At 46.8% G+C, this 27,560-nt stretch overlaps 2 long non-coding RNA genes across 7 annotated transcripts in view, besides 2 other annotated features; both read left to right on the top strand.

Moving 5' to 3' along the window:
- Positions 1-17,928, top strand: part of LINC02943 (long intergenic non-protein coding RNA 2943) — a 56,010-nt gene extending 38,082 nt beyond the window's left edge. Inside the window, exons 4-7 of one of the 2 annotated variants that reach the window (XR_001755055.2) lie at positions 15,593-15,862; positions 15,964-16,128; positions 17,316-17,451; positions 17,753-17,928. This is a non-coding gene — a long non-coding RNA (long intergenic non-protein coding RNA 2943). Of the gene's footprint in view, positions 1-15,592; positions 16,129-17,315; positions 17,452-17,752 lie in introns of both variants that reach the window. The other variant, XR_001755054.1, reaches the window with a different exon arrangement.
- Positions 22,488-23,053: an enhancer, noted in NCBI's record as "H3K27ac-H3K4me1 hESC enhancer chr21:40395325-40395890 (GRCh37/hg19 assembly coordinates)". NCBI's record gives its function as "activates a minimal SCP1, AML or CMV promoter by ChIP-STARR-seq in primed H9 embryonic stem cells {active_cell/tissue: H9 hESC(primed)}" and the evidence as "EXISTENCE:reporter gene assay evidence [ECO:0000049][PMID:30033119]".
- Positions 24,061-24,561: an enhancer, noted in NCBI's record as "H3K4me1 hESC enhancer chr21:40393817-40394317 (GRCh37/hg19 assembly coordinates)". NCBI's record gives its function as "activates a minimal SCP1, AML or CMV promoter by ChIP-STARR-seq in naive H9 embryonic stem cells {active_cell/tissue: H9 hESC(naive)}" and the evidence as "EXISTENCE:reporter gene assay evidence [ECO:0000049][PMID:30033119]".
- LINC02940 (long intergenic non-protein coding RNA 2940) overlaps positions 27,196-27,560 on the top strand; it is a 33,906-nt gene continuing 33,541 nt past the window's right edge. For all 5 annotated transcript variants that reach the window (XR_007067867.1, XR_007067868.1, XR_007067869.1 and 2 more), the window contains exon 1: positions 27,196-27,454. This is a non-coding gene — a long non-coding RNA (long intergenic non-protein coding RNA 2940). The remainder of the gene's footprint in view (positions 27,455-27,560) is intronic.

Here is a 27,560-nt window from a genome sequence, read left to right as displayed (position 1 = left end):
TCAGCCTTGAAAAAGAAGGAAATGCTGACACATGCTGCAACATGCATGAACCTTGAGGACATTATGATAAGTGAAATAAACCAATCACAGAAAACCATATATATGATTCCACTTGTATGAGGTTCCTGGAACAGTCAAATCCATAGAGATAGAAAGTAGAATGGTGGGTGCCAGGGGCTGGGAGGGAAAGGGGAATGATTAATGGATACAAGTTTCAGTTTGGGGTGATGAAAAAGTTCTGTGGATGGATGGTGGTGATGGCTGCCCAACAGCCTGAATGTGTTTAATGCTGCTGAACTGTGCACTTAAAACGCTTAAGATATAAATTTTACGTTAAGTATAATTTACCACAATAAAAAAGGTAAAATAAAAAGTAGAAAAAAAACTTGAAAATATTAAAAAAAAGACACTGTGAGGCACGACTTCCTCACTTCCTCACCCCACACATGGAAAGTTCTGGAAGCTGGATTGCACTGTGTCCGTCTGTTCCAAGGCCCACAGGTGGGACTACTCTTCTTTGTTGTCTTTCATTTTTCAAAACCTAGCTCAGATTTCCCTTCCCTCTGAAAGCATCTTTGGGTCTCTTGACTGGGAGCTGCTGCCTTTGGCACGTTCTCATGGCCCCTTGTTTCTCCAGGGTGAAGTCTGCTATGTTTCATTTACTCGTTTGCCCGCCTGCCTTCCCCCTGAGACCCAGGGACCCTCTTAGGCAGGCTGGGTCTTGTTCACCTTTGTGTGTGGCTCCATGCTCTGCATAGAACTGAGTGCACCAGTCATGTCGGTGCTGCTTCTTGGGTTCCTCTCCAACCGTATGTAAAAATCAGGCCCTTTGGGAGGCTGAGGTGGGTGAATCACGAGGCCAGGAGTTTGAGACCAGCCTGGCCAACATGGTGAAACCCCGACTCTACTAAAACTACAAAGAATAGCTGGGCGTGGTGGTGGGCACCTGTAATCCCAGCTGCTTGGGAGGCTGAGGCAGGAGAATCGTTTGAACCTGGGAGGCAGAGGTTGCAGTGAGCCAAGATCACGCCATTGCACTCCAGCCTAGGTGACAGGGTGAGACTCCATCTAAAATTAAAAAAAAAAAAAAAAAAATCAGGCCCTGCCTATCTGTGAATCCCAGGAGCTTTTGCATGAAATCACTTGGCCATGTGAAGTCCCACCCCTTGCATTTCAAATTTTCTCCTGTGGTGAGAACACCTATGACTCCGATGAACTGAGAAAAATGATTTCTGCTTTGCAAGAGAACCAGTATATTAGAAGATTATGTCTTTCACAGCTGGGAGCAAGTCTTATTTTCCTCTTGTTCCTATCTTTCATTGATTTGAAGTCTCAATATTCTTTTGGGAATATTTTAAGTCTACAGTGTTCTGAATGTGGAATAGATTTACTGGGCATGGCTGGCACTGTGGGGGTTAGCCTATCAAAGGAAAATTGCAAGTTGTTCTTTGTCCTTCCAAATGTATCTGTCCTGATCACGTCAGTATCCTATCGATCACATTAAAATGAAGAGTTTCTGTCCAAGATAGGGAACCTTCGATAAAGTGAAGAGGCAAGTGTCAGACTGGGAGAAAATATTTGTAATATCTAAACCTGTTAGAGAATTGAAAGAGAGGCTCAAAGGTACAAAGAATTCTTGGAAATCATCAAGCAAACAATTGGCTCTATCTTCCTAACTTGGATTCCTGCATCTGAGTGTTTCCAATGTCTCTCCTTCATAAATAAGAAAAAGTTAAACAAAAGAAGTTTAAATGAAAAACTGTTTAGGTCAGTGAAGACCTGAGTCTCAGTTTAGGATGTTGTGACTGAAAATACCTAAAATATTAATGTCACTTTTGCATGTTGATATATTGGTGCAGAGAGGTAGCATGAAGTGGTAAAAGACCATGTTGTGGGCTGAATGTTTGTGTGTCACAAATGCATTTGTTAAACCCCCAACAACCACTGTGGCTATATTTGGAGCCTCTAAAGAGGTACTTACAGTTAAACAAGGTCTTAAGTGTGAGACCCTAATCTTATAGGATTAGTATCCTTAGGAGAAAAGATGCCATTGGGAATAATATTCACAGTAGCTAAGATACAGAAACAACCCAAGTGTTTATCAATGGATGAAGGGATAAATAAACATTATATATATATATATATATATATATATATTTGATTTTTTTGAGTTCCACGTATAAGTAAGTTCGTGCAATATTCTCTCTGTATCTGGCTTATCAGGCTCATCCATGTTGTGGCAAATTGTAAGATCTCATTCTTTTTTAGGGCTGAATAATATTCCATTATATATATTTTATAGATATAGTTATGCATATATTGTTATATATATAGTTATATATATAGTTGTATGTAGTTATATATATATATATAGGTTGTGTGTTCCAGCCAGGTCAACACAGATGGAGACAGAGACAGTGCATACAGGAGTACGTGTCCAGGCACTGGGACTCTGAGGCTGTAACCTTAGGAACCATCGGAGATGATGGACAGGGCCTGGTATTGCCACAGTCCACATGGAGCTGGGGGTTTAGGCCCACTTCCTCTAGGCCTGAGGGGAAGGGGGAACTCCACCTGACATCTGGCTACAGCTTTGATAGTGAGAGTCTCTGACAGTGGGTCTGACTTTGCCTCAGTTGGATTTAAAGAAGTCAAGTTGCCACCATGTTCCCCAGCAAAGCCTGGGCTCAAAGTCACACAAGAATCGCTTTTTGAAGCTGGTGCTGGAAGGAAATTCAGCCAATGACCTTCGGGAGGCTTCTCCAGGTGTGATGTGTCCCTCTGTGTTCACTGGTCATGTCTCAGCATTTCCTGGAGTGTCTCCATTGAGGCTTGAATGGGAACTTAGGCCACCAGTGAGACCACAGGATGAAGTGTGCAGAATGCTCACCCAGGTCCTAGTGACTGCAGGCTCCGGTTATTGAAACATGGATGTGTTTCACACACTTCCCAGGTGACACCCATTCCTAACACATATGAACCTGCATTCATTTTTATTGGAAACTATGGACCAAAATGAGCCCAAAGATGGTGGTGTTCAGTGGGGCTGTTCATGATAAGACAACAATGTTCTTCCAGGTGGTCTGAATGGAACAGCTCTGTTAAAGTTTCCTCTCTGGTGCCACCAGCCAGAATTGCAAATATCATCATCACTAGTGCCATCAGCCACTTGAATTTTGAATATATCCACTGTATTAGGGATCTCCAGGGAAACAGGACAGATTGTGTGTGTGTGTGTGTGTGTGTGTGTACGTGCTTGTGTGTGTGTATACATATATCTCATATGCTCCTTAAATGAAGAGATTTATATTTATTATAAGGAGTTGGCTCATGTGGTCATGGAGGTTTGCAGCAGGCAAGCTGGAGACCCAGGAGAACAAAGGATGTGGTTCCAGCCTGAGTCTGAAGGCTGGAAAAAACTGGTGCTCTAGCTTGAAGACAGCCAGGCAGAGAAGAGTTCCTCCTTATTCTTGGAAAGTCAGCCTTTCTGTTCTATGCAGGGCTTTGGCTGATTGGATGAGGCCCACTGGCATAAGGGAGCTGGTTGCTTTACTCAGTCTACTGAATCCAACGTTCATCTCTTTCAAAACATCGTCATAGACACAGCCAGAATCATGTTTAACCAAATATCTGGGCTCCTCATGGCCCAGGCAAGTTGACATATGAAGGTAGCCATTACACCTGCAGAGCAATCCCCAGAGGTACAGGCTCAAAACCATGACCCTCTGCATGTCATGACTGCTGAGGAAATGCCTAGATTTTATAATTGGCTACTGCCCTGTTTGTCTTGTAATTAAAAAATGCTTCATTAGAAACTTTGACTCCAGCTGGACTAAAGACCTAAAAGTGAAAGGTAAAATCATAAATTCAGTAGGAAAAAATGTAGAATCATATCTTTGGTCCTAGGAATGGGAAAGGATTAGTGAACAAAAATGCAAAAGATATTATTAAAAAATGTTAAAATGTTGTTGTCCATAAGACAAAGTTAGGGAAAGATGGTGGATTTGGAGAGGGTGTCAGCTTGCAGAAGGTTATGTCCATAACTAAAATAAATCAAGAATATCTGAGAAATACCTACACATTGATAAAAGAAAGCAGGAATTCTAATGGGAAAATGGGTGAACGATAGAAACGGTAATTTACAAGAGAGGTAACCTTCCCCAAATACCCAAGCATATGAGGAGACTCTCATTAGGAATGAGAGAGGGGCAAAGACAAGAAGAAGATATCACTTCAAATCCATTAGGCCACACAAGAAAGCCATCTATACTCAGCATTGGTGGGTGAGTGGATAGAGCAGCCCTCCGGCCTTGCTTTGGAGGTGCAGATGGGGCAGAAGGCTGAGAGCACATGGGGACACTTAATCCAAGTTGGCACAGATGCTCCGTTCTGCAGCTGTGGTGCTGCTGGGCAGGGATTCAATGCTTGGGACATGGGTGAGGATGTGTGTGTGTGGTGTGAAGGGTGGTCCCGGGAAGCTGCACACACTTGGGTGCCCACTGCTGGGGGTAGTGGTGGGTGATGTGGGGAAGCTCTTTGTAGAGCAGTGAATGGGAAGAGGGGTGGGCCAGATGTGCTGGGCAATCCCTGCTGGTGGTGAACATTCCATTCACATGCACCCGTCCCTCCTCTTCCCCATCTATCCCCACACCTCTTTCCATTTGTCTGTTTTCCTCACTGGTAAGCAGGGCACCCAGAATAACTTGCCATTTACTTTCAGAGAGTTTTTCTAGATTTGACTTAGTTGTGTTATTCAATAATAATCAATGGAAAGGTCTTCCTGCTTTCCTTATGCTGTCCCTCCTTTCCTCTGTCATGCATGGGACACCCACCCCGGGCAGGCACTGTGCTGTGTGCTAGGAAAATGAAGAAGGGAAGAGTGACCTGAGAAAGCAGGCTCACTGACCCCCTAGCACTTCATGGTAATGAGCTGATCATCGGCATACCTTCATTTCTTGTAGAGGCAGTGGTTCTCAACTTTTTGTTTTTGGGACCCCTTTACATTTTCAAAAATTATTGAAGACAGCAAAGAGCTTTTTTTTGTGTGTGTGTATTATGGTAAGCTGAGCATTTTTTTTTTTACCATATTAGAAAGTGGAATTAAGACATTTAAAAACATTTATTCATTTAACATAATAAACTTATTACATGTTGATATAAATAACATTTTTATTTAAAAAACCCTAAATTTTTAAGGGCAAAATGGTCTAATAAGAAGAGCAGTATGATTTTACATTTTTTCAAGTCTCTTTAACAGCTGGAAGATGGCTAGATTCTCCTATCTGACTCTGTACTCAATCTGTTGCACTACCACACATCACAAAACTTCTGGAAAACTCCACTGCACACTTACAGAGTAAGGGTGGAAAGGGTAGATGACATCTTAGTATGATTATAAAAATCATTTGACCTTATGGGGACCCTGAAAGGGTCTGGGGACTCCCAGGGGTCCCTGGCCTGACCACACTTTGAGAACCACGGGCGTTGGCCTTTCTGAAGGTTTGATGTAGTGCCTCAGTTCTAGAAGCCACTCAGTGCTTGATTCTAGAAGCAACATCTAGTGCTATGGTGAGGCCTGGGCCTGAAGTCTGGCTGTGATCTTGGAGCATTAACCTAGAAATTGGGGACTGAAGGAAACTGAGGTGGGCTGCAGGCATTGGACTTTCCTTTTAGTGTTTCTTTGTGTGTTTTGAGGGACTTTTTAGTGCTCTTTTTTTCTGACTATAGGAAGTAGGATATGGGTGGTGTATTATCTGAAGCTATCATTTCCTGAGCACTTCCTCCCGGATAGGCATGTTGCTTGTGCTCTCTCTGGCTAAAATTAGTTTGTTCTTTGGAATTTGCTGTCTCTTAACGTAACAAAGGGTTTGGAGTAAAAATAATAAAGTATTAGTGGAAATTTAAAGGTGCTAGCGAGCCCTTTTATTGTTCTGGTAACATTGATCTTACTTTAATCTGTGGTGCCCCTCCATGCTTGTATATTGGGAACAAGGGGTTTCATGTCCTTAGACTGGGGGCAAATTCTCAGACACATTTCTGGCAGAACTCAGGTGGAGAGGGAAACATCTTTAGCTCCATCTAAAGTGTAAAATGGAGTATAGATGTGTACTGCCTGATGAAAATCTGTTTTTCACAACTGAGACACAGCCTTTGAGGGTCCCCCCACATGTGATTTGTTTACCATTTCCGTGCCCTCCTCTGGCACCATCCTAGTCGCTAGTGAACAGATACCATCTGACACATAGATTTGTGTCGTTTTATAATTGCAGTGTTGGCAACCATGTAATTGTCCCCTAAGAGAAGACTAGTTAAGTATGTTGTCTATATAAATGGAATACAATAGGGCTGAAACAAACAAAAATGTGTTTTCTTGTACCATTGGGGAAAAATTTCCAAGAAGTAGTGTTAAATCAAAAATGAAGGCACAGAGCAAGTTTTGTAGAGTGCCAGTCTTTGTGGTGGGGGCAGGAGTATACCTTTGCTTGTATTCGTGTAGTAACCTTTGAAGACTATAAAACCGTCTATTAAGAATGGAAACTCATAGGCCATGGTGGGAATAACGTGACTGTGAGAGAGGAAAGGGAAGGAACTGCTCATATATACACCTTCTTAAACTTTTTGATATCATGTAGATGCATTACCCATTCAAACATTAAATCTGCTTAAAAATAATAGAAAAGCAAAATAAAATCCAGATGGCAAGCAGCTCAAATCCTTTTAACTAAAACCCCTTCATTTTTCTAGACAGGGAATAGCCCCACTGTGAACCGGGGGCAGTCCTGCCCCTGGGGTTAATGACTTTTCAGTTTTAACAAATGTCACCCTTAATGACCATGTAACCATGATAAATGCAGAAAGGCACCAACCCAAGTCCTCACTAGTTGGCTCAGCAAAGCAAACCTCTATTGATCCATGGTTCATCTCTTTAGCTTGGTTTTTAGCAGGGAGGCATAGAGACCAAGTGTTCAGAAACTTGTTGGACAGAGGGTGGAATTTTAGAATTTTAATAGTTGTCTTTGGACAGGTTTCATGTGCTGTGAACATGCCCCGAGAGAGTGCCTGAGTGTGCAAATCCATTAGGTTGGAGCCCGAGTCACCCCTAAAGGAGCTCCTACAAGAAGGAGGTGCTGTTTAGCTTCTGAGGGGTAGCATGGTTGGCTTACATCTCTGGGGAAGCTCTCAAGCAACAAAGGGTGAGGAATGGACAGTAGCGGCTTTTTAAATGCAGGTGAGGAATGTATATGGGCTTTGTAGATATCTCAAGCATGAGAGTCTTGAAAGAAAAGGGTTGAGTACTGACAGAAAAGCATCACTTTCAAAATGTTTCAGAAGCACATGTTTCTCATTCTATTACATAGACGTGTGTCAAAGTTTCAGTTTAGTTGACGAGACAAAAGTTGGAAATGTTACTTCATGCATTTTCCTTTCCTCAAATATGGCAGCCCTCTTTATCCATGGAGATCTGTTCCAAGACTCCCGGGGGCTGCCTGAGACCTCGGAGAGTACTGGACCCTACACATTGTATGTTTTTTTCCTATATGCACATACCTATGATAAAGTTTCATTTGTAAATTAGGCACAGTAAGAGATCGATAACAATAATAAATAATGAAATAGAAAAATTATAACAATATACTGTACTGAAGATTATGTAAATATGATTTCTATGTACTGTACTAAAGGTTATGTAAATATGATCTCTCTCTCCCTCTGTCTCTCTCAAAATATCTTAATATTTTTGGACAACAGTTGATGGCGGGTAACTGAAACCTCAGAAAGTGAAACTGAGGCTAAGACGGGATGATTGTGTTAACAATGCTGTTAATAATTTTAAGACATCGGTGGAGGTAGGCAAAGTTTATATAGGACATTTCTGTATTATTTTTGCAACTCTTCAGTAAATTTGAAATTATTTCAAAATGCCAACTTGAAAAAAATTACCTAAAAGAACAATAATAACGACACAGGAGGCTTTTATTTACAAAGCTGGGTTCTTAAGAGAGAAAAGCTTCCTTTTAGCGTTGGGAGCCAGCCTTCTAGGCTGGGCATGGCAGGCACTTCTCTAGAAGAACGTGAAGCCCAGGGGCTTTGGCTACCACAGCCCAGCCAAGACAGAAGTTCTGCAGAGAAGGACGTGTCATTTGCACCTTTCAGAGGAGTCGGGATGTTGTCAGAGACAGGCCCCAGGGCCAGGCCTCCTGTTCAGACATCACAGATTCTCCATAAAGCAGAGAGGATGCAGGAAATGACGTAGGAATCATTTCCCAGTGAGTCAACCTGTAGGCTGAAAGTGGGGCAGCTAGAGAGGAGACCAGGGTACAGATGAGTGTCCTCAAGAGGCCCCTCCAGGCCCCTGGCTGAGGTTGAGACCCTGGAACGTGGACAGGACTGAGGGACCCAGGTAGGAGGGCCTGACCCTTGCCCACCTAGAACCAGGAGGGGGCGCCATCTTGAGAACCCCTGCACCAGAAGGAGAGGCCCTGGGTTGGCCTGGGAATAGCGGCCTGGGGCAGGCAGAGGACTCCGAGGCGGCCTGACTTGCTGGATAAATGGATGTTAGCCTTTCCGGTCACCATTCGATGTTGGCACTGGCTCTCCTTGCTTTGCTGGGGATCTTTTCTTCCCAGCATATGTACTCCATGCTCCCTAAAGCATTTCATGTTCCTTAGTGAACTGGAGCCAAGGGAGGTCCCAGTGAGCTCGTTCAACCTCTGATCTGTAGGTGACAACTCACTGCCCAAATGCCCTCCTAGTGTTCTTTGTGCAGATCTTAGAGGGAAGCTGTCCCCTGCTTCTGGCCCCCTGCCCCATAGGAGTGAGCAGGCTGGGAGGACACCATCCAGTGACAAAGGGCTGAGATCCGTGTCTTGGGGCTTTCTTTGCTCTTTTTGGCTCCCAGAGGCTAGGTTAGCTCTGAAGTAAGGGCACCTCTTATGGTGACTTGGGGTTACTCATGGATGGCTTTATCCTTCTTTGAGGTGTGTGGTTGTGAAAGGACCCTGAGTGGCTGGTAAGATCAGTTTCTCTTCTTTGCCTGTGCTGGGTGGGGCACAGTGCACCACACTAGATCCCACGCAATGGGGAGCCTGGGAGGGGGCGTGACGAGGGACGCTTTCCACCAGCAGCTCTCTGCAGTGTTTCTTTTCTTTTCTTTTTTTGAGATGGAGTCTTGCTCTGTCACCCAGGCTGGAGTGCAGTGGCATGATCTCAGCTCACTGCAACCTCTGCTTCCTGGGTTTAGTGACAAGTACTCTTCCATCTTGCTGTAGAAGAGCTGATTGATTCTACCAGCCACACAGGGAATGTGCAGGGAAGTATAGTAGATACAATCACTATTGCGATGCTTGTCACTAAACTCAATAGAACAAAAACTAGAAAGCATTAGTTTTCAAAGCTGGCTGTCAGTTTGATGAAGTTAAATGAAGGTGGCTGAGGAGGAAGATGGAGAGTTCATGTAGATTCTGAAAGGGTTTTCTGGTCCTTTCCAATTCCTTAGGAGTTTGTTTATTATTCCATTATTGATTGAACAGATATTGATTCAGCCCTGTGAACTGCCAGGCTCATCAAGACAAAGAAGTTTCTCTCATAGCCCTTTGGTCCCAGTGTGGGGAGACGGCTGATAAAAATAAGCACAGTTGGGCAGAAATGACAGCACGTGCCAGCAGTGGTAACTGCACGAGGACAAAGAAGTGGCAGAGACTGGCAGGAAGACATGGGGCTATGGGGATCGAGGGGTGGGACAGGCTTCGATGTTCAATAGGACAGTGGACTTGGGTCCTAGGGCTGCCCTGATAAAGCACCATAAACTGTGTGACTTAAAACAACAGAAATTTATCCTGTCACACTTCTGGAGGCCGGAAATCGAAAATCGAGTTGCTGGCAGGGCTGCATTCCCTCTGCAGGCTCTAGGGAAGATCCTTCCCTACCTCCTCCACCTTCTAGTGGTTCCAGGCTTCCCTGGCTTGTGGCCCCATTACCCCAGTCTCTGTCCCCATCTTCACATGGCCTTGTCTCTGTATCTCTGTGTGTATTATCCTCTTTTTATAAGAACACCGATCATTGGATTTAGGCTCACCCTAAAACTAGGATATCTCATTGCAAAATCTTTAACTTAATTACATCTGCAAAGACCCTATTTCCAAATAAAGTCACAATGACAGGCTCCCCATGGACATGAATGTTGGGGAGGATGTGATTCAACCCACTGCAGGTGGTCAGGGTAGGCCCCGGAGGGAAAAGAAGGTGGGATATGAGCTTAGAGGAGGTGCTGGGAAGCCAAACAGCTCCCTGCAATAGGTGGGTTCCAGGGCAAAGGAGCAGCTGGGACAAAGCCCCTGAGCTGGGGCAATGAGGCCACTACGGTGGGGACAGGAGGCATGGATGGAAGAGGGAAGATGTGGGCGAGGCATCACACAGGGTTGTGGAGACCACGATGAGGCCCCTGCAGTTAGCGCTGAGTGATATGGGGGCCACACAGGAGGCTGAGTAGAAGACAGATGCCACTTGACCTTAGGAGACTGCCAGGAAGTTGGTTCAGGAATCCAGGAGCGAGCAGAGCGGGAGGATAATAAGTGGTTGGCTCCTGGGTTTACTTTGAAGGAAGGGCCAGCAGGACTTCCTGACCAATTGGAAGAGGGGAAGGAGGGAGTGAGAGCAAGAGGAGAATGGACAGGGACTCCAGGGCTCTTGGCTGGAGCAGCCAAAAGGATGGCGTCACTGGGGATGGGGAGGTCTTTGCAGGCAGCAAGTTGTGTATGAAGAGCAGGAGTTTAGTCTTGGGCGAAGGGAGTGTGAGATGCTGAGGCTGAGGTGTGGAGTTGGCTGTTGGACATGTAAGTTGGGAACTTGGGAGAGAGGTCTGGGCTGGAGGCACAAATTGGTGGGAGGATGACTTTTTTCATGATTGGCTTTTCCTAGATGTTGGGGTTTTTGGCTTACAGATGGGAAAGAGAGTGGGGAAAGGAGACAGAAAAAGAAAAAAGATAGTGAAGAAGGTAAGGAGTTAGACAATTTCATACTGGGGCCCCCACTGGGTGTTATTGGTGGAGGCAAAGTGGAGATGAGAAAGAAGGAGCCCTGGAATCAGACTGACCTGAGCCTTTGTTTTCACTGCTGCGAAATGGGGATACTAATCATCATGATGATGATGATGACGATGACCCAACCATCAAAACAAGACAATAACAGCTGCCAACCTTTGTGACACTCAGGATGCGCCCCACTCTGAGCACTTCATGGATGTACCCTCATTTAACCCTGACAATAGCTGTGGGGCAGGTTGGCAATTCTGTCTGTTTGGGAGCTGTGTAGTCTGAAGCACAGAGAGGTTGAATCTCCTACCTGAGGTCACACAGCTGGTGGGAGATGGTGCTGATTTACTCAGGCCTGAGCTCATTGCCCTGGGCTCCACCTATGATACTTCTCTACTGTGTGCTTGGCACATCTTTAAATACTCAAAAGGTACCTGTAGGTAAAATCGGGGCTTACAACTTGGGAGTACTGAGAATTACAAATAAAGGAGTCTTTCACATTCTGTCATGAGACCTGGGTCAGCCAGGTCACAGGGGCCGCCCCCCGGCTTTCCCCATCTCCCCCGGAGTTCCAGGTTGTATGTGAAGCTGGGAGCGATGAGGGTGAATTTCCGGTCGGGAGATTATAAAGAGGCCTCTCTTCTGCTGTCCTAAATGCTCCAGCGGACCAGCCTGGGGGCACTTCTCTTCATATCCTGTTACCTTGAAGAATAATCCCCTTTATTCTTGTTTTCGTGACTTGCCCATCTCTCTCTGGGTTTCAATCTTTTTTTTTTTTTTTTTTTTTTGTGGAGAATGGTATCATCTAATATTTATTAAGTAATTAAGTGTTCAATAAAGCTAGGGCATTTCCTCCAAGCAGGCTGGCTGGAAGGCAGGTTTGGGGGCTCACTTTCCCTTAGGTCTGTGTCCCTGGGGGTCCCAGGGCTGTGCACTGCCTGATCGGGAGGCAGCAGCCCTGGCTGTCACACCTGGCTATGGGCAGAAGGCCCGGAGGCGGGGACAGGAGAGGGTGCAGACGTGAGGTGTGGCAGGCACCGTCAACGCTGGACAGACAGCAGACTCGACCTTTGTGTGTGTGTGAAGATTTCCCAACCAGGAAACAGCTTTGAAGAGCCACGTCGCACACATGATCACACACCGCCCTGTGAGTGACCCATTTTGGAAATGAAGCTGATCAAACACTGGGAGCAGACAACTGTGACCCCAAGTCAACCCCGAGAATGTCGCATGGGGCTGGAGAGGGACGCGCCTCCCATGCTGGGACGCACCAGACATTGACCAGCTATTTCCAACCTACAGGCCTGCAAAGGTGTTAAAACTGATGTAAAAATATTCACGTCTCTATTCCTAACATGCAGACAAGGCATGAAGGGGCCCCGTTCCCAGGCGTCTCCCCAAGGCCCTCTACACGAACAGCGCTGCTCCCTCCGCTCCACTTCTCTTTCAAAAACAAAGCGAGCTGCCAAACCAAACAGCAGCCACAAACCCCACACTTTCTTCTTCTGAGTAGAAAATCATAAAGTCACTGTGGAGCAAATGAAAGTTCAGAAAAGTATCAAGGAGAAAAGAACCGCCTTCAGCTGTTCTGCCACTGGGAACCTTTTAGCTGACTGCCTGCTCGATACTTTTTCTAATATGTTCTCATGATTACATTAGATGTTGAAAAAAGTGATTGCAACTAAAATTATTTTCATGGAAACAGTTTCAATGGACCCCGTTCATCATATGAGATCATATCATAATTGATTGAGCCAATTTGCTACTGTTGGATATTTAGATTGTGTCCATTTTTTTGCACAATTATGCTGCAGTGAACATTGTAAATAAATCTCGGCGCATATCTCAGATCTGTTGGTGTGGATAGTGATTCTCCAACATCTTGCCAAAGTGTATCCCCCAAAGAGAAGCTTTGAGGTTTTCACCTTTTTCTTAGAATTTCAGGAGAATGTTGCTTTCTTCTTGAAAGTGATCTGATTTGTTTTAATGTTAAAATAATGTCTTCAATTACTAATCCGTGAAATGAGTCATTAATTTAGCCCTACCTGCAAAGGCTTTCAGTACAATGGATGTCCAGGGAGATGAGCCCTGGGGACCCTGAGGCCTCAGATCTCATCTGCTACTTCTCATGTTATGCCTCGGGGGTGCCTGGGTGAGAAACAGGTCTTCGTAGAGGGTTGCAGAAATGGAATTGCTGGGTTAACAGTGGGAAATTTTTAAAAGATTCTTGGTACATATGGTTCTTCTATGTAACAAAATTAATTCCACAAGTATAAAAGTTATTACTTATAAGTAAAAGTGTCATCTTCTATACTCTTGCATTATAAAAACAGTTACAAAAAAGATAAATACTGATCTATTTTTAGAGTTAAGACATTTCTAGATATAGAAGCAAAAAGAACAGCATAAAAAAAGAATTTGACTACATATCTAAAGATGATGTTAAAATGAAAAGGTAAATAATAAACCAGAAATTTCAATTTGCTATATATGCTATATATTTGTATCACGTGTATATAAATGTGTGTGTAAGCATCAGTGTCTTAATAAGGAACACTTTCAACAAATTAACAAACTGCAAACATCCAGTGGAAAAATGGGCAATGAACACAATTACAGATAACTATAAGAATGAATAGAAATGATTAATATATACATGTGAAAAACAGTCAACCTCACTAACAATCAAAGAAGCGTTAATTAATACAAAATGCCACTGTCACCTAATATAATTGGTCAGCTTTAAAGACGATCATGAGGGTCAGCAAGGGCACAGGGAAGCATCACGCTCCCTTGCTGCCTGAGCGAATGAATTCCTTCTTGTGTCCTGCCCCAGCCCAGGGACTACCTAGCCACACACCTTGGCTTCCATTCTACCCTGAGCCCCCCTCATGCCAAGGTAGAAAAGCTTTTCCTTTATTTAAACCCCATAACATTGTGTCTATGAGTCTCTTGTAGTAGGTGGTACAAATGATCTTACTTGATAATATCAATACTCAAAATAAATATGGTTTTCTAATAATTTATTTATTATTTTATTTTATGTTATTTTTGAGACGGAGTCTCGCTCTGTCGCCCAGGCTGGAGTGCAATGGCGCTGTCTTGGCTCACTGCAACCTCTGCCTCCCGAGTTCAAGTGATTCTCCTGCCTCAGCCTCCCAAGTAGCTGGAACTACAGGCACCCACCCCCATGCCTGGCTAATGTTTGTATTTTTAGTAGAGACGGGGTTTCACCATGTTGGCCAGGCTGGTCTTGAACTCCTGACCTCAGGTGATCCACCCTCCTCAGCCTCCCAAAGTGTTGGGATTACAGGTGTGAGCCACTGCACCCGGCCTGGTTTTCTAATAATTTAGACATAAACGATGCTATGTCACTGGATCTATTCAGCACTGTGTACCAGGAACTGTCCTGGTTACTGAGATACTGCAGTGGACAAAACCAGACCTGGTCCCTGCTCTCGCGGAGCTGACCTGCTGTGCAGGAGACAGACTCTAAACAACCACATACATTAGTGAACAAGTGTATGAGTTCAGGAGGGGTGTTGCCAAGAGAAAAGGAAGGAGGCCAGACAGCAGAGCAGTGGGCCAGGGGAGGGAGGCATTTTAGCCCAGCGTGTGAGAGAAGGTGGCTTCTGAGATGAGGCCTGATGGAGTGAGGAAGCAGTGGGAAGACCCAGGGAAGATGTTTCTAGCAAACGGAATGGCTTACGCCAAGACCCCAAGTCAGCAGTGTATTTGGGCAGTTCAAGGTTCAGCAAGGAAGCCAGCATGGCTGAAGAGCATGGGGACAGAACAGTGGAGGTAGGAGGTGCCGGGGAAGTGGCCAGGCATGAGAGCACACTGGGAGAATCGCGTAGGTCATGGTGAGGCTTTAGGGTGAGGTGGGGGAGCCTCTGGTCTGGTCGGTTTTATGCTAGGTGTTGTCATGCTCTGGCTTACTTTAAAAAAAAATTGGCGCTCATGCTTGCAATCCAACTTTGGATTGGATTGCAATCTCACTTTGGGAGGCTGAGGTGGGAGGATTGTTTGAGGACAGGAGTTTGAGAGCAGCCTGGGCAACATAGAGAGACCCCGTCTCGACAAAGAATAAAATAATGAGCCAGGCATGATGGCGTACGCGTGTAGTCCCAGCTACTCAGGGGGCTGAGGTGGGAGAATCGCTTGAGCACCGGAGGTTGATGCTGCCGTGAGCTGTGATCACGCCACTGCACTCCAGCCTGGGCAGCAAAGTAAGACTCTGTCTCAAAAAAGTAATAAAAGTTGGTATAAAAGGCACATAAGATAAAATTCACCATTTTAGTGATTTTAAAGTGTTTAATTCAGTAGATTCACAACGTTGTGCAGCCATCACCACTTTCTAATTCCAGAACTTCATCACCCCCAAAACAGGCTCACTTTCATCACCCCAAAAAGAGACTCTTAGTCTATGCACAGTCACGCCACGTCCTCCCTCCCCCCAGCCCCTGACAACCACTTTCTGTGTCTGTGGATTCGCCTATTCTGGGTATTTCATATCTATGGAATCCTACAAGCCTTTTGTGATGGTTTCTTTCCCTCAGCAGAATGTTTTCAGTTCATCCACGTCGGAGTGTGGGCCAGCACTTCATCCCTTGCCATGGCTGAGGAATAGTCCATCACGTGGACAGACAACAATTTATTTCTCCATGCATCAGGTGACAGACATTTGGGTGGTTCCCACCTGACTCACTTCATGAAAGAATATCTCTGGGCCCCATGTGGAGGCTCAAAAGAGCAGAGCTGGGAGACCAGGGAGGATGTAGCTGCAGGAATCCCAGGAATGCAGGTGAGGGCTGGAGGCGGTTGCCCTGCAGGTGAGTGATGGGAGAGGCCAGAGGGGCCAGCGAGGTGTGGGTCTGGAGCCAGCAGATCATGTTTTCTGTCTGTCCTTCCTCCACGACGATGTACTCTTTAGGAGCCGAGTGACGATGACCTGTGGATGAGCAGCCTGGGATGCCCCTGTCCCCAGCCTCTTCAACCTGACACAAGTTTGCATTCTATGCTCTCTTTCTTTGGAACAAGGATTGACTCCTAAGTGGCATCTGGAGAAGGCCGAGCTTCCTGCAGGGACCTGAAGAGGGTATTAATAGCAACTTTCCTCTGTGGGGTGTGGGACCAGCAGGTCAGGACAATGGACCCCAGCCAGGAACCGATCCAGAAGTGACCACTGGCTGCCACTGAGTGGAGCCCACCAGGCCCGCTCTCCTCTCAGCCACAGTGGGGATTGCTTTCTGCATCCTGCTGAGAAAAAAACTGCATAGAACAATTTCTGAAATTAAGGGCCATCCACTGGGTTATTTTAAACCAAAGAGCTGAAGCCTCCTTCAGTAGACACAGGAAAATTGATTAAAGTCCGTGCTTCAAGGGCCCTGAAAGCACTTTATGTCAATGTCCTTCCTGCGATAGTGCTTCTGTGTTTTAATAGTAAAGCCTGCATGAGTTTACTAAGAAGGAAAACCTTATGTGTTTTGCAGGTAAAATGTCTGTCACCCAGGCATTGAACTCAGCAGTATGGTTTGGCAATTACTGTCCTCAAGGCTCCTTTCTTTCATTATCTTTATCTCCTTTAAAAAAATTTTTTTAAAGATTTTTTTCTTATTTCAAATGGTGCACAATCTTATACAAGATTTTAAAAATTACAAAATTAACTAGCAAAAAGTTAAAATCCTCCCTAATGCAGACGGCAAGGGGCTATGGCTTCCTTCCTGTGCGACCAACATTCTTTTTGGTATGTTATGCTTTTATCAGCTGCTTTGGAATCTGAGGCTGATTGGTTCCATCTGCATTTCTGTTTGACTTTCAGCTCTGAGCTCACCCTAATCATAGCTCACTATCGAGAAAAAGCACAGAGACTGCTACAGAAGCTGCAGGCTTCTACTTGATAATACAACCTAGTAACATACTGAGCTGGTCTGGAACCACTCACACAGACCCCTCCAATCACTGAGAGCCCAGGGCTGATGGAGCAAATAGAAGATACCACAACGCAAGGAGGGCTCCTAAAAGAAGTCTTAGACAAGGAGTCTGCATCTGCCAAACTCCATTTTTCTGGAATCCCAGCTGAATGCTGGGATTCATTAATGCTTCCACGTTGCATTCTAACACCCAGAGCTGCCCCAGTTCTAATCTGTGATTCACAGTTAGCCTGGTCATCATGCGTATGGATGGCCTTGCCCATAGGCACATCCATTCTCTCTTCCAGGCTGGCAGGTTTTCTCTAGGTTTGCTCACTTTTTTTGTACTTATTTCTGCATTTGCCTCCTGAAGGTTTTTAGAAACAGAAACGGAGTCATCAGATTGCTCACAGTGGCCAAATCTTGCCCTAAAGTCAAAGCTCTGAAGCACTGCACTAAAGAGCTCTTGGAACACCCGTGGATTCCCAAGGAAAGGAATGGATAAAGTTGTGAGCAACAGAGGTGGTGGCCGTGGGGGCGGGTGCCCAGGGGAGAAGGCAGCCATTTCCTTTGTCTTTCCTCTATTCTTCCTGGATGCAATTTTCCACCCAGGTTTTCTCTGTTGGGTGAAATCTCTGCCCAAGGAGGGGGCTGCAGCTCTCCCTGACCCAGGGCAGGCGGCTCACTTTTCCTCTGCCAACAGGGCCTGACAGCAAAGGCTGCTCAGACAGCCAGGGAGGGCATCTTTGCAGGGTTCTGAGATGGAGGCTGTATTTCTCAGAGCAAATCCCCTTGCTCTGTTTCTTTCAGAAGCCATGATGACCTTGTTGAATCCAGCCATTCTGCAAGTGCCTGTTTTGACTTTAGGGATGGAAGTCCTTCCAGGCATGCCAAGAGGGAAGGAAACATGGCAGGTGCACTGGCTTTGAAGTTGCCGTGGTGGTTGCAATCCTGCATCTGTCTGTTCCTGATGGGGTGACCTCAGGCAAGTTGCTTGGCCTCCCTGAATCCCAGTTTTCTAGTGTGCAAGATGGGGACCATATTGCCTTGGGGATGACTTCAAGGACTGAGAGAGGTATTTTTTTTTCTTTGAGACAAAGGCCTTGCTCTGTCACCCAAACCGGACAGCAGTGGTGCAATCACAGCTCACTGCAGCCTCAACCTCCTGGGCTCAAGGGATCCTCTCACTGCAGCCTCCTGAGTAGCTGGGACTGCAGGCATGAGCACCATGCCTGGCTAATTTTTCAATTTTTTGTAGAGATGGAGTCTCACTGTATTACCCAGTCTAGAGGGAGATAAATTCTAAGCTTAGTACAGCACCTGGCTTATATGAAGAACTCAGTAATCAGTGATATTTACTTCATGTATTTATAGTTCCTAACATGGGTGTTTAGTCAGCCTCCCTTTTGCCACATCTTCCAACTGTTCAGATATCCTACTTGTCTGCCTCCTCCTCCATGAACCCTCCCTAGGTTCCCCCAATCCTCAATGATTTCCATCTCCTCTGTTGTCAGTTTGCCCCATTCCTGCCACTAGGACTCTCTGAGTGTTTCTTGTGCATTAATGTTGTTTCATTAAGAGTGGGGAGGTGGCCTCAGAAGTGGTTCAGTGGTAGTTTAAGATGCTAGGTAAGAGCACAGATTCTGCAGCCACACTGCCTGGGTTCAAATCCTGACTGGGCCACTTAACACCAATACGATTTAGTTTCCTTATCTGTAAAATGGGTTCAATAACAGTTCCTGTCTCATAGAGCTGTGAAAAAGGATTAAGTGAGATCCATTTAGATCCATGCCTGAGCTTACATGTGCTGTGTAAGTGTTAGCTATTATTATGCCCACCTGTGTAATTTTGGTAAGTTGGCGTATCTTTGTGAACCTCAGTTTTCTCATCTGCAAACCAGTAGTAATAAAATGTAATCCTCTGGGCTGTGGAATTAGATGAAGTGCTGAACATGTGGGCACAGTGCTGGGTGCATGGTAAGCACTCAGTGTTGGTAGTGGTTGTTTTTGTCAGTTCCTGGGGACAGGAGCTCTGTCTTGGTCAAGCTGGGAATACATTTTCCAGAGTCTCCTTTTTTGGGGAGTTCTGATAGAACTTGGCCCATTTAACAAACAAAATAACAGAACTTCTATTTAAAGTTGAATGCAGATCAATCATAGCAAATTTTCAGTGTAACCATATCCCATGTATTGCATGGGAAATACTTATGCCTAAAAAATTATCCACTGTTGATCTGCAATTCAAATTTAGTGGGGCATCCTGTATTTTACATAACAACCCCTCAAGAGGAACTAGTGTGAGTCTCAGAAAATCAATGGATGGAGGCAGAGGTGCTGATGGATCCCAGTGTGTCTTCTCTCTCCTCTGCTCTGGCCCTGCTGTGGCTCCCCTGGGGTCCTGGCTCCAAAGGTGGACATGCTGGGCTTGTTGAATCCTGGCATGCTCTGTGCAAATCCCTCAACAATTGTCCAGAGTCTGCCCCCTCTCAGCAACCCCACAGCTATTGCCCTGGCCCCTTCCTCACTCTGGGTACCATACCCCAGCTGTTCTCTACACAGCATCCAGAGATATCCCTTTAAAGGTGACACTGCTGGTTGGTTTCGGTTGCTCACACATGTAATCCCAGCCCTTTGGGAAGCCAAGGCTGGAGGATCACCTGAAGTCAGGAGTTTGAAACCAGCCTGGCCAACATAGTGAAACCCCGTCTCTAAAAATACAAAAATAAGCTGGGCGTGGTGGCATGTAGCTGTGGTCCTAGCTACTTGGGAGTCTGACGCAGGGGAATCACTTGAACCCAGGAGTCAGAGGTTGCAGTGAGCTGAGATCATGCCACTGCACTCCAGCCTGGGTGACAGAGCAAGACTCTATTTAAAAAAAAAAAAAAGTGACACTGCCTTCTCAAAGCCCTGCAGCGGCCCCCTTCTCACGAAGAATAAAATCTGGAGTCTGGACCTTTGCTTCCAGGCCCTGACTGTTCTGGCCCCAGCCTCCCTCTGGCCTCTTTCCTCCTGTCTCTTGCTCACTTGCTCTGCCCCAGACACACCTGCTTCTTGATGTTCCTGGAAGCACCTGCTGGTCCTTTTTGGATGAGACATTCTGTCCCCTGAGTACAGGAATGCTTGCTCCCCCCACACTTCACAGCATCTTTGTGCAAACGTCCCGCCCCCGAGAACTCGACCCTGGGCTGGGCTCCCCTCTCACCTTGTCTTTTCCTCTGGGCGATCATCACCTCTTGACACTCCCAGCACTCTTCTGTTTGTTGACTGTCCCCTTCACAGTCCCAGGAGCCCATGAGGGCAGGGACTCCGAGATGTCCTCTGCTGCATCCTGGCCACAGCTACACGCCTCCCTGGATGGACGCCCCGTAGGCCAGTGTGGAACGAATGGGTCACGTAGTGGTGATGAGATGGGGAGGCTTTGCAGGTTCCCACGCTGTAGAACTTGGCAAATGAGTGAAATTGTGCCAGGAAACAATTCTTGGAGTTCTTGTATCAGCTCAAAGCCTTAAGGTTGAGCCTGTGGCAGGTAATGTTGAACCAAGCTTCTGGAAGTTTCTGCCAGTGACACCCATGTCCAGTGGTTGGACTCATTTTGACTTTGTGCTCTTTGTATCGCTGATTCTTCCTTCTTTTCCTCTTCCTGTTGTCAGTAGTATTGATTGGTAACTGGGCTCACTTAAGCATTTAAAAGGACAATGATGGAAATGCAGCCTTGCTCTGTAATAACATGAAGGGCGAACCGTTTCATTAGAATGCCGTAGAGTTCTCCGGGGGGTGGGGGGGTTGCATCCTTAGGACATTGCTACTGTTTGGATGTTCGCCCCTTCCAAATCTCATGCTGAAATTCGATCCCAGATGTTGGAGGTGGGGCCTGGTGGGAGGTGTTGGGTCATGGCGGTGGATCCTCATGAATGACTTAGCACCATTCCCTTGGTGATGAGCGAGTTCTCACTCATTTCACGTGAGATCTGGTTGTTCAAAAGTGTCTGGGACCTCCCGTTTTCTCTCATGCTCCTGCTCTCGAGTGTGATGTGTGTACCCCACCCCCTTGCTTTCCACCATGAGTGAGAGCTCCCAGAGGCCTCCCCAGAAGCTGAGCAGATGCTGGCATCACACTTCCTGTACAGCCTGCAGAACTGTGAGCTAAATAAACCTCTTTTTTTTTTTTTTTTTAAAGTTATCCAGCCTCAGATATTTCTTTATGGCAATGCAAAAATGGCCTAACACATTCATTTCAGCTGTGTCAGTACCCCAGCTGCCCTCAGAGGTGGAAGGGATGTATGTTTCGCCTAATGTGCACTTAGAAAACTAAGTGCAGGCCGGCTGCAGGTGGCTCACACCTGTAATCCCAGCACTTTGGGAGGCCGAGGTGGGCAGATCACCTGAGGTCAGGAGTTCAAGACCAGCCTGGCCAACATGGTGACACCCTGTCTCTGTTAAAAATACAAAAAATTAGCCAGGCATGGTGGTGCATGCCTGTAACACCAGCTACTTGGGAGGCTGAGGCAGGAGAATCATTTGAATCCGGGAGGTGAAGGAGGTTGCAGTGAGCTGAGAGCATGCTGCTGCACTCCAGCCTGGGTGACAGAGTGAGACTCTGTCTCAAAACAAAACAAAACAAAAGAAAACAAAAAAAACAACTGAGTGCAGAGGTTAATACCTTCCCAAATCCTATAGTCGCTGAGTGTAAGCTGAAGCTCACCTTTTCCCCTTTCTTTTTAATTTAAAAATATTTAAATACAAATATACACTTAATTAATATTAATTTAAAAATAAATATATAAATAAATATTAAATACAAAGAAGTTTAAGATAAAAAATATAATGAGAAAAATTGTCCATAATCTCCCAACTCCCCCACAGCAGTTTCATCTCCCCACCCTGGCCTCATTATTCATGTGACGTTTTCACATCATCACCACCATAGGTATCACTTAAGATTGTTAGAAATATATTGTCACCTCATCCCATTGTCTCTGAATAATAGTTTTCAGTGACTGCATAATAGTCCAACAAATGAAAGCTCCAGATGATGTATCTTCAGGCTATTTCTCTATATTTTTAAACAATAATGCTTATTTTATAAAGATTTTTGAGCTGTGACGTTTTTCTTTCTTTTCAGCCCAAGTGTTAGGATTCTGTTGTGGGTCAAATTGTGTCCCTCAAAAAGATGTGTTTAAGTTCCAACCCCTGGTGTTTGGAAACGAGCACTTATTTGGAGATAGGGTCTTTGCAGATGTAAGCAGGTTGAGGTGGTCATTAGGGTGCATCCCAATCTAATATGGCTTGTTCTTGTAAGTAGAGGAAAATGTGACGTGGAGACACAGACACACATGGATTGTGACAATGAAGGCAGAGATTGGAGTGATGCTGAGATAGGGTCTTTGTGGTTGTGATCAAGTAAAGAGGAGGTTATTAGGGTGGGATCCCATTGTAATATGGCTGGTCCTTATAGGTAGAGGAAAATGTGATTTGGAGACATAGACACACATGGAGTGTGACGATGGAGGCAGCGAGTGGAGCGATGCAGCTGCCAGCTGAGGAGTGCCAAGGGTTGATGGTCACCATCGGAAGCTAGAGGAGGCAAGGGGGGCTCTGTCTGGAGTCTCAGAGGGACAGCAGCCTTGATTTTGGACTTCTTGCCTCCAGAAAGGTGAGACAATACATTTCCGTTGTTTTAAGCCTCCTGGTTTGTGTTACTTTGTTGTGGCAGCCCCAGGGACTCTGAGTTGATATTCTGTCAAATACACAGCAGAAATTCGCCTTTCCTGATCACATCACACTGATTCCGGGACCAAGCAGGATGTCACAGGTGGGGGTCAAGCCAGGCTTGAGAAGATGGGCCGGGCTGGGCCTCAGCCTCTCATGGGCTTCTGTGGGTCATGGCCTTGGCGTTCCTCCAGCCCTGGCTAATGCAGTCTTCTGTGGAGGAATGGCATCCCAGGCCTTCACCCCTCCAGGTCAGCCGTGGCTGCCGGCCAAGATGGCCGCGTGGGCAGCCTCACATTCCTTCTCGGCTTTTGGCCCCATGTCCTCGGCACTCAGGTCTGCAGTTCAGCCCAAGTGTTGAGACTCAGGTATGCAGCTCAGGGCGGCCTTAATTAACCCTCCCATGGGCCTGGGCACCGCCTGCGCCTCATCAACTCTGGGCTGCTGGTTTTGTTCCTGACGCTGCAGCCTGACACTGTGGGCGGGGGTGCAGTTTGCGATGGAAGGCTGCCTCCGAATCGAGGAAGCCTTGACCTTGGGAGGGGCCTGCCTTTTCGCTGGGCTTGCCTTTCTCTGGGCAGCGTTCGCTCAGCACTTCAGTGCGGCCGATTCCCCTGGGACTGAATTCACACCAGCCACGACGACTTCCCGGCTACTTCACGTTCTCTATGTTTGCAGCTGTTCTTTGGTGGCAGAAAAAGATGATTTTTCTTCCCCCCACTCCCATTCCCTTTTGTTAGTTTCTCTCCCTGAACCACATTTTGAGCTGAGTGAAGGTCTCAGGTTGGCCTTTAGAGGGAGTCAATCCTCTGATAGCATCAGGTACCGGAGAGGCGGAAATGAGGGTGTTAGGCCCTGGAGAGCAGGTGCCACCGGCTTGCCTCCCACTGGGAAAGACATTTCTGTATCTTTGGCCCATGAATTATATTCTCTTCTCAAGCAGCTCCAAATGAGCATTTAGGGCTTTATCTATCTCCCATATGCATGATTGACTGGGAGGTAGGACGGCGGCCCTGGGTGTGGTCTTGGCTCACCTGCTCACCAGCTGGGTGACTGGGTCTCACTGCCACCCAACACTCACCCAGCCCCCTCCTGGGGCATTGGAGGGATTAGGGGTGGAGACATGGGTAAGAGAGTGAGCATGCAGGTGCCTGGGGAAGCACTTTCTGAAGGCACGTGGTTTGTCCTTGCCATCTCTTTGATTTTACAGTTGGCAAGAATTTCCAAGGCATCTCATCAACAACTTCTGATAAATGAGGAAGTGGAGGCTGAATTATAGTTCCACAGCATCGGGAGCCAGAAGCGAGGTGGGAATCCAAGTCTTCCGGATTCCCAGCTCCGTGATTCGTGCCTGTCACAAATTTGGGACCAAAAGCCACCTGTCTGTGGGATTAACAACAGTCGAGGCTATGACTGACATCGTGCCCTAGCGAGTGCACAGGTCTGGCCAGCTGGGCGGCTGGACCTGGCTCTCTCGCCTTGGGTCCGTTCAGCCCATTTTGTGGATGGATCAGGTGAAGTGTGGCTCCTGGGGCTGCTGGCTGCTTTCCAGTGTGCGGTTGCCAAGCATGTGAATGAGGCTTTCCTGAGCCACAGCTTCCATGGCGCATGCCGGAGGAACCCTCGCATGGAACCTAAGGGCGCCAGAGGCGGAGTTGGAGGCGTGGTATTGGGGGATCCTGGGGATGCGTGTTGGGGGCTGGGTGGGTGCTAGGAGAGAGGAAAGAACTGGACCCACCTGGAAGACCAGCCAGGTGTGGGTCAGAAGCTATAAACATGAGAGGGCTCGAGGAATTCTCATAGTGCTTTCTGGAGCCGGGGAAAAGAGGGCTGGCCAGGAGGCCCCCACGTTTCTCTCCACCATCCTGCAGTCTTCATTTTCCCTCCAAATGGGAGGGTTCCCCGCAGCTGGCCAGCCCGCCGTGGCACAGACTGTGTTTCTCTTCTTTGAGTGCCACACGAAAAACACTGAATAGATGCCGACAGGCAAGTTGGAAGGTACAAGGGAGTCCTGGGATTATTTTTTTGAAGGCATTTTAAAGGGTAGATGGCTTCCTTTCTGCTCTGTGCCTGTCCCCAGCTCAGCCCTCCACAGGGGGACCCAGGCCCGTCCCCTTTCCTCCTCCCTTCCCCCCTCCCGCAGCTTGTGTTCAGGGCTCCCTCCCAGAGCGCCTCACCCTCTCTCCCCCTTTGCGCCCAGGCCCAGCTCCAACAGGCTTCTCTCCCGGAGAGGTCTGTCAACGGGGTGGCCCACCACCTTGCTCCCCATGTCCACCAGCCCTGCCCACCCACCCAGCCTTCCTCAGTCCCAATCTGCCTGGATTTCCCTGCAGAGCCAAAAGCCAGAACAAGTCGAGGCCGCTGCTGTTGCCCGACACACACCGTTGTCCCCAGCTCCACCCCAGAACAGCCCAAATTCCCCAGATTGCTGTGAAGAGAGTCAGCCTGTGCTCAGAGGCATTGAGCAACTCGGAGCCTCCCAGGGTCCCTGACCCTGCACCCGGGAACAGCCAAGCGGCCTGAGCATCCAGGGTCAGATCGGAAGGCGTTTAAGGGAGGATGGCTTCTTCCTTTTGGGGTGTAGTGGGAAAATGTTGTTGGTGGGCAAAGGTCTCTCCACATTGCCCATCCTTGGGGTGGGGGGTGGGTTTCAGTTTGGGCTCATGATGTCTGGTTGCTGTTTTGTTTAGGGTGTGGGAGTCAAATGCTGGAGGGTGGCGTTTGCAGATGGTGCGAACCTTTCACCTCTGAGTTGAAGGGAAGAGGGAAGCAGCTGCCCTGGCAGCAGGAAACAGAGTCCGGCCTCGAGCTGACACCTCCAGCTGGCCGGGGAGGAAGTCACCAGGCAGTTGCTATGTCTTTGATGTTGGGGCTGCCTTTTCTCCTCTCGCTGACCACCAGACAGCTGGGTGGGCTGAGAAGGAGGTGCCCGGCACACACGTCTGTTTCCTGGAAAGCTGTGGCCACAAAGGTCACTCCATGGACTCTGAGCAGGGGCCACAGGGGCTTCTGGATGGAGACCTGGGATTTGGCCACACATTGCATCCCCAGACTTTGCTGGATATTCCCAACCGCTCTGAGTGAATTCCAGGGAGGCATCCCCTGAAGCAGGAGTCCCACCCCGCTGACATGCTTGACAATTCACCACAAACCCAAGTACAGGTGACCCAGGAGAAGAAGGCTGCCGAGCGAATGTCCTGCATGCATTTAAAGAGTTAATAAGGGAGGGCCAAGGAGCCTGATTTAAAACAGAATAGGAAAGTCTTTTAAAATATCTTTTTTTAAAAAAAGTAAAATACCTTTAAAAATCTTTAAAACATGTATCTTTTTCTTATTATAAAAGATTAAATGTTTGTTGTAGAAAATCTGGAAATGACAAAAAAGTATAGAAAACATGAAAATTCATCTTGAATCACCCAAGAAACTGCGAACCCGTGTTAACATTATGATCTACTCTTGATACACACAAACACACACCAGCACGGGTATTTTCACACTCGACCAAGACCGTCCTACAAATACAACACTTATCTTTCTTAATTTCTCTTAAAATTCCATAACAAGCATTTTCCCATGTCTTCAAAACATGAATTTTTACAACTACCTATCATTCTTTGCAACGGCTAAGCAATTTATTTAACAACCTCCTTATAGGTTATGTATAGCACTTAATTTAAACCAATTAAAATGTACAAGTGTGCCTTATGGAATAGAATAAGAAACCTGCCACCCTGAGCCTCCATTTTCCCCATCTCGAAAGTGGGAGAACTCTGCCTCAGCTCAGGTGGCTGGTGTGCTCTTTAATTAAGATTTAGGAAAGGCCTTGCCATTTGTGGGTGAAGGATTGCTACCTCAGTCAAAGGTTTGGCGTAGTCATCCTTAATTATTATGATGTGCTCATTATGGGCAATTAGCACATTGCAGGACAACAGAGAGGAATTTATTTGGGAGTTGATCTGTGTTGTTGTCCTGGGTGAGCCAGGGTGCTGGAGGTTCAGGAGGCCTGTGGTTGGCTCCTGACTGCAGAGACAAAAATCAGCCAGCAGCATCCAGGCCTCAGTGGGCTGAGATAATCGCTGATGCCAGGCTGATCCTGAGGGTGGGAAGGAGAAATGCCACCTGGTAGGGCAGGGAAAGTGGGTCTTTCATGGGTGCCAAGTGCCAGCTCTCCATTTTCCTTTGCCTTCCTGATTTTAATCTTCTGGAATACATATACAATTCACCAGGATTTCTGTCTTCATATTGGTTCATTGAGTGTTTGTACAGATTGTCTTAATGGCCCATGAGCTATGGTGTTTGTCTTTGGACTCTCCAGAAGTTTTCACATGTGACTTTTTTTTTTTCCTTTGAGACGGGATTTCACTGTATGACCCAGGCTAGAGTGCAGTGGTGTGATCACAGCTCACTGCAGCCTCGACCTCCTGTGCTCAAGCAATCCTCCTGTCTCAGCCTCCTGAGTAGCTGGAACCACAGGAGCACACCACCATGCTTGGCTAATTTTTGTATTTTTTTGTAGAGATGGGGCCTTGCCGTGTTGCCCAAGCTGGTCTCAAACTCCTAAACTCAAGCGATCCACCCCCGCCTGGGCCTCCCAAAGTGCTGGGATTACAGGTGTGAGTTGCCCCACCCAGCCGTGATTAATTTGGGCTTTCAACACCCTAAAATGGGAGAAGGTGGTAGCATAGAGTGTGTATGACTGATTGTATTTACATTTGTTGCAATTTGAAGAAATGTAGTTAGAAGTCCATCTGCAGAGAGATTATGACCATCGCTTCTGTCTGACCAAGGTCTGTTTTCCTGATCGGTGAGTACAGTTATGTAAAAGGTAAAGGGGTAGACTGTTTGCAGCAGGCACTGTCCTGGAACGTGCAGGCCACGTGGTCACCTTGCATGTGAGAGCAAGGTCTGCA

Source organism: Homo sapiens, chromosome 21 (assembly GCF_000001405.40).
Source record: "Homo sapiens chromosome 21, GRCh38.p14 Primary Assembly".
Lineage (NCBI taxonomy): Eukaryota > Metazoa > Chordata > Mammalia > Primates > Hominidae > Homo > Homo sapiens.
This window is presented reverse-complemented; position numbering and strand designations above follow the sequence as displayed.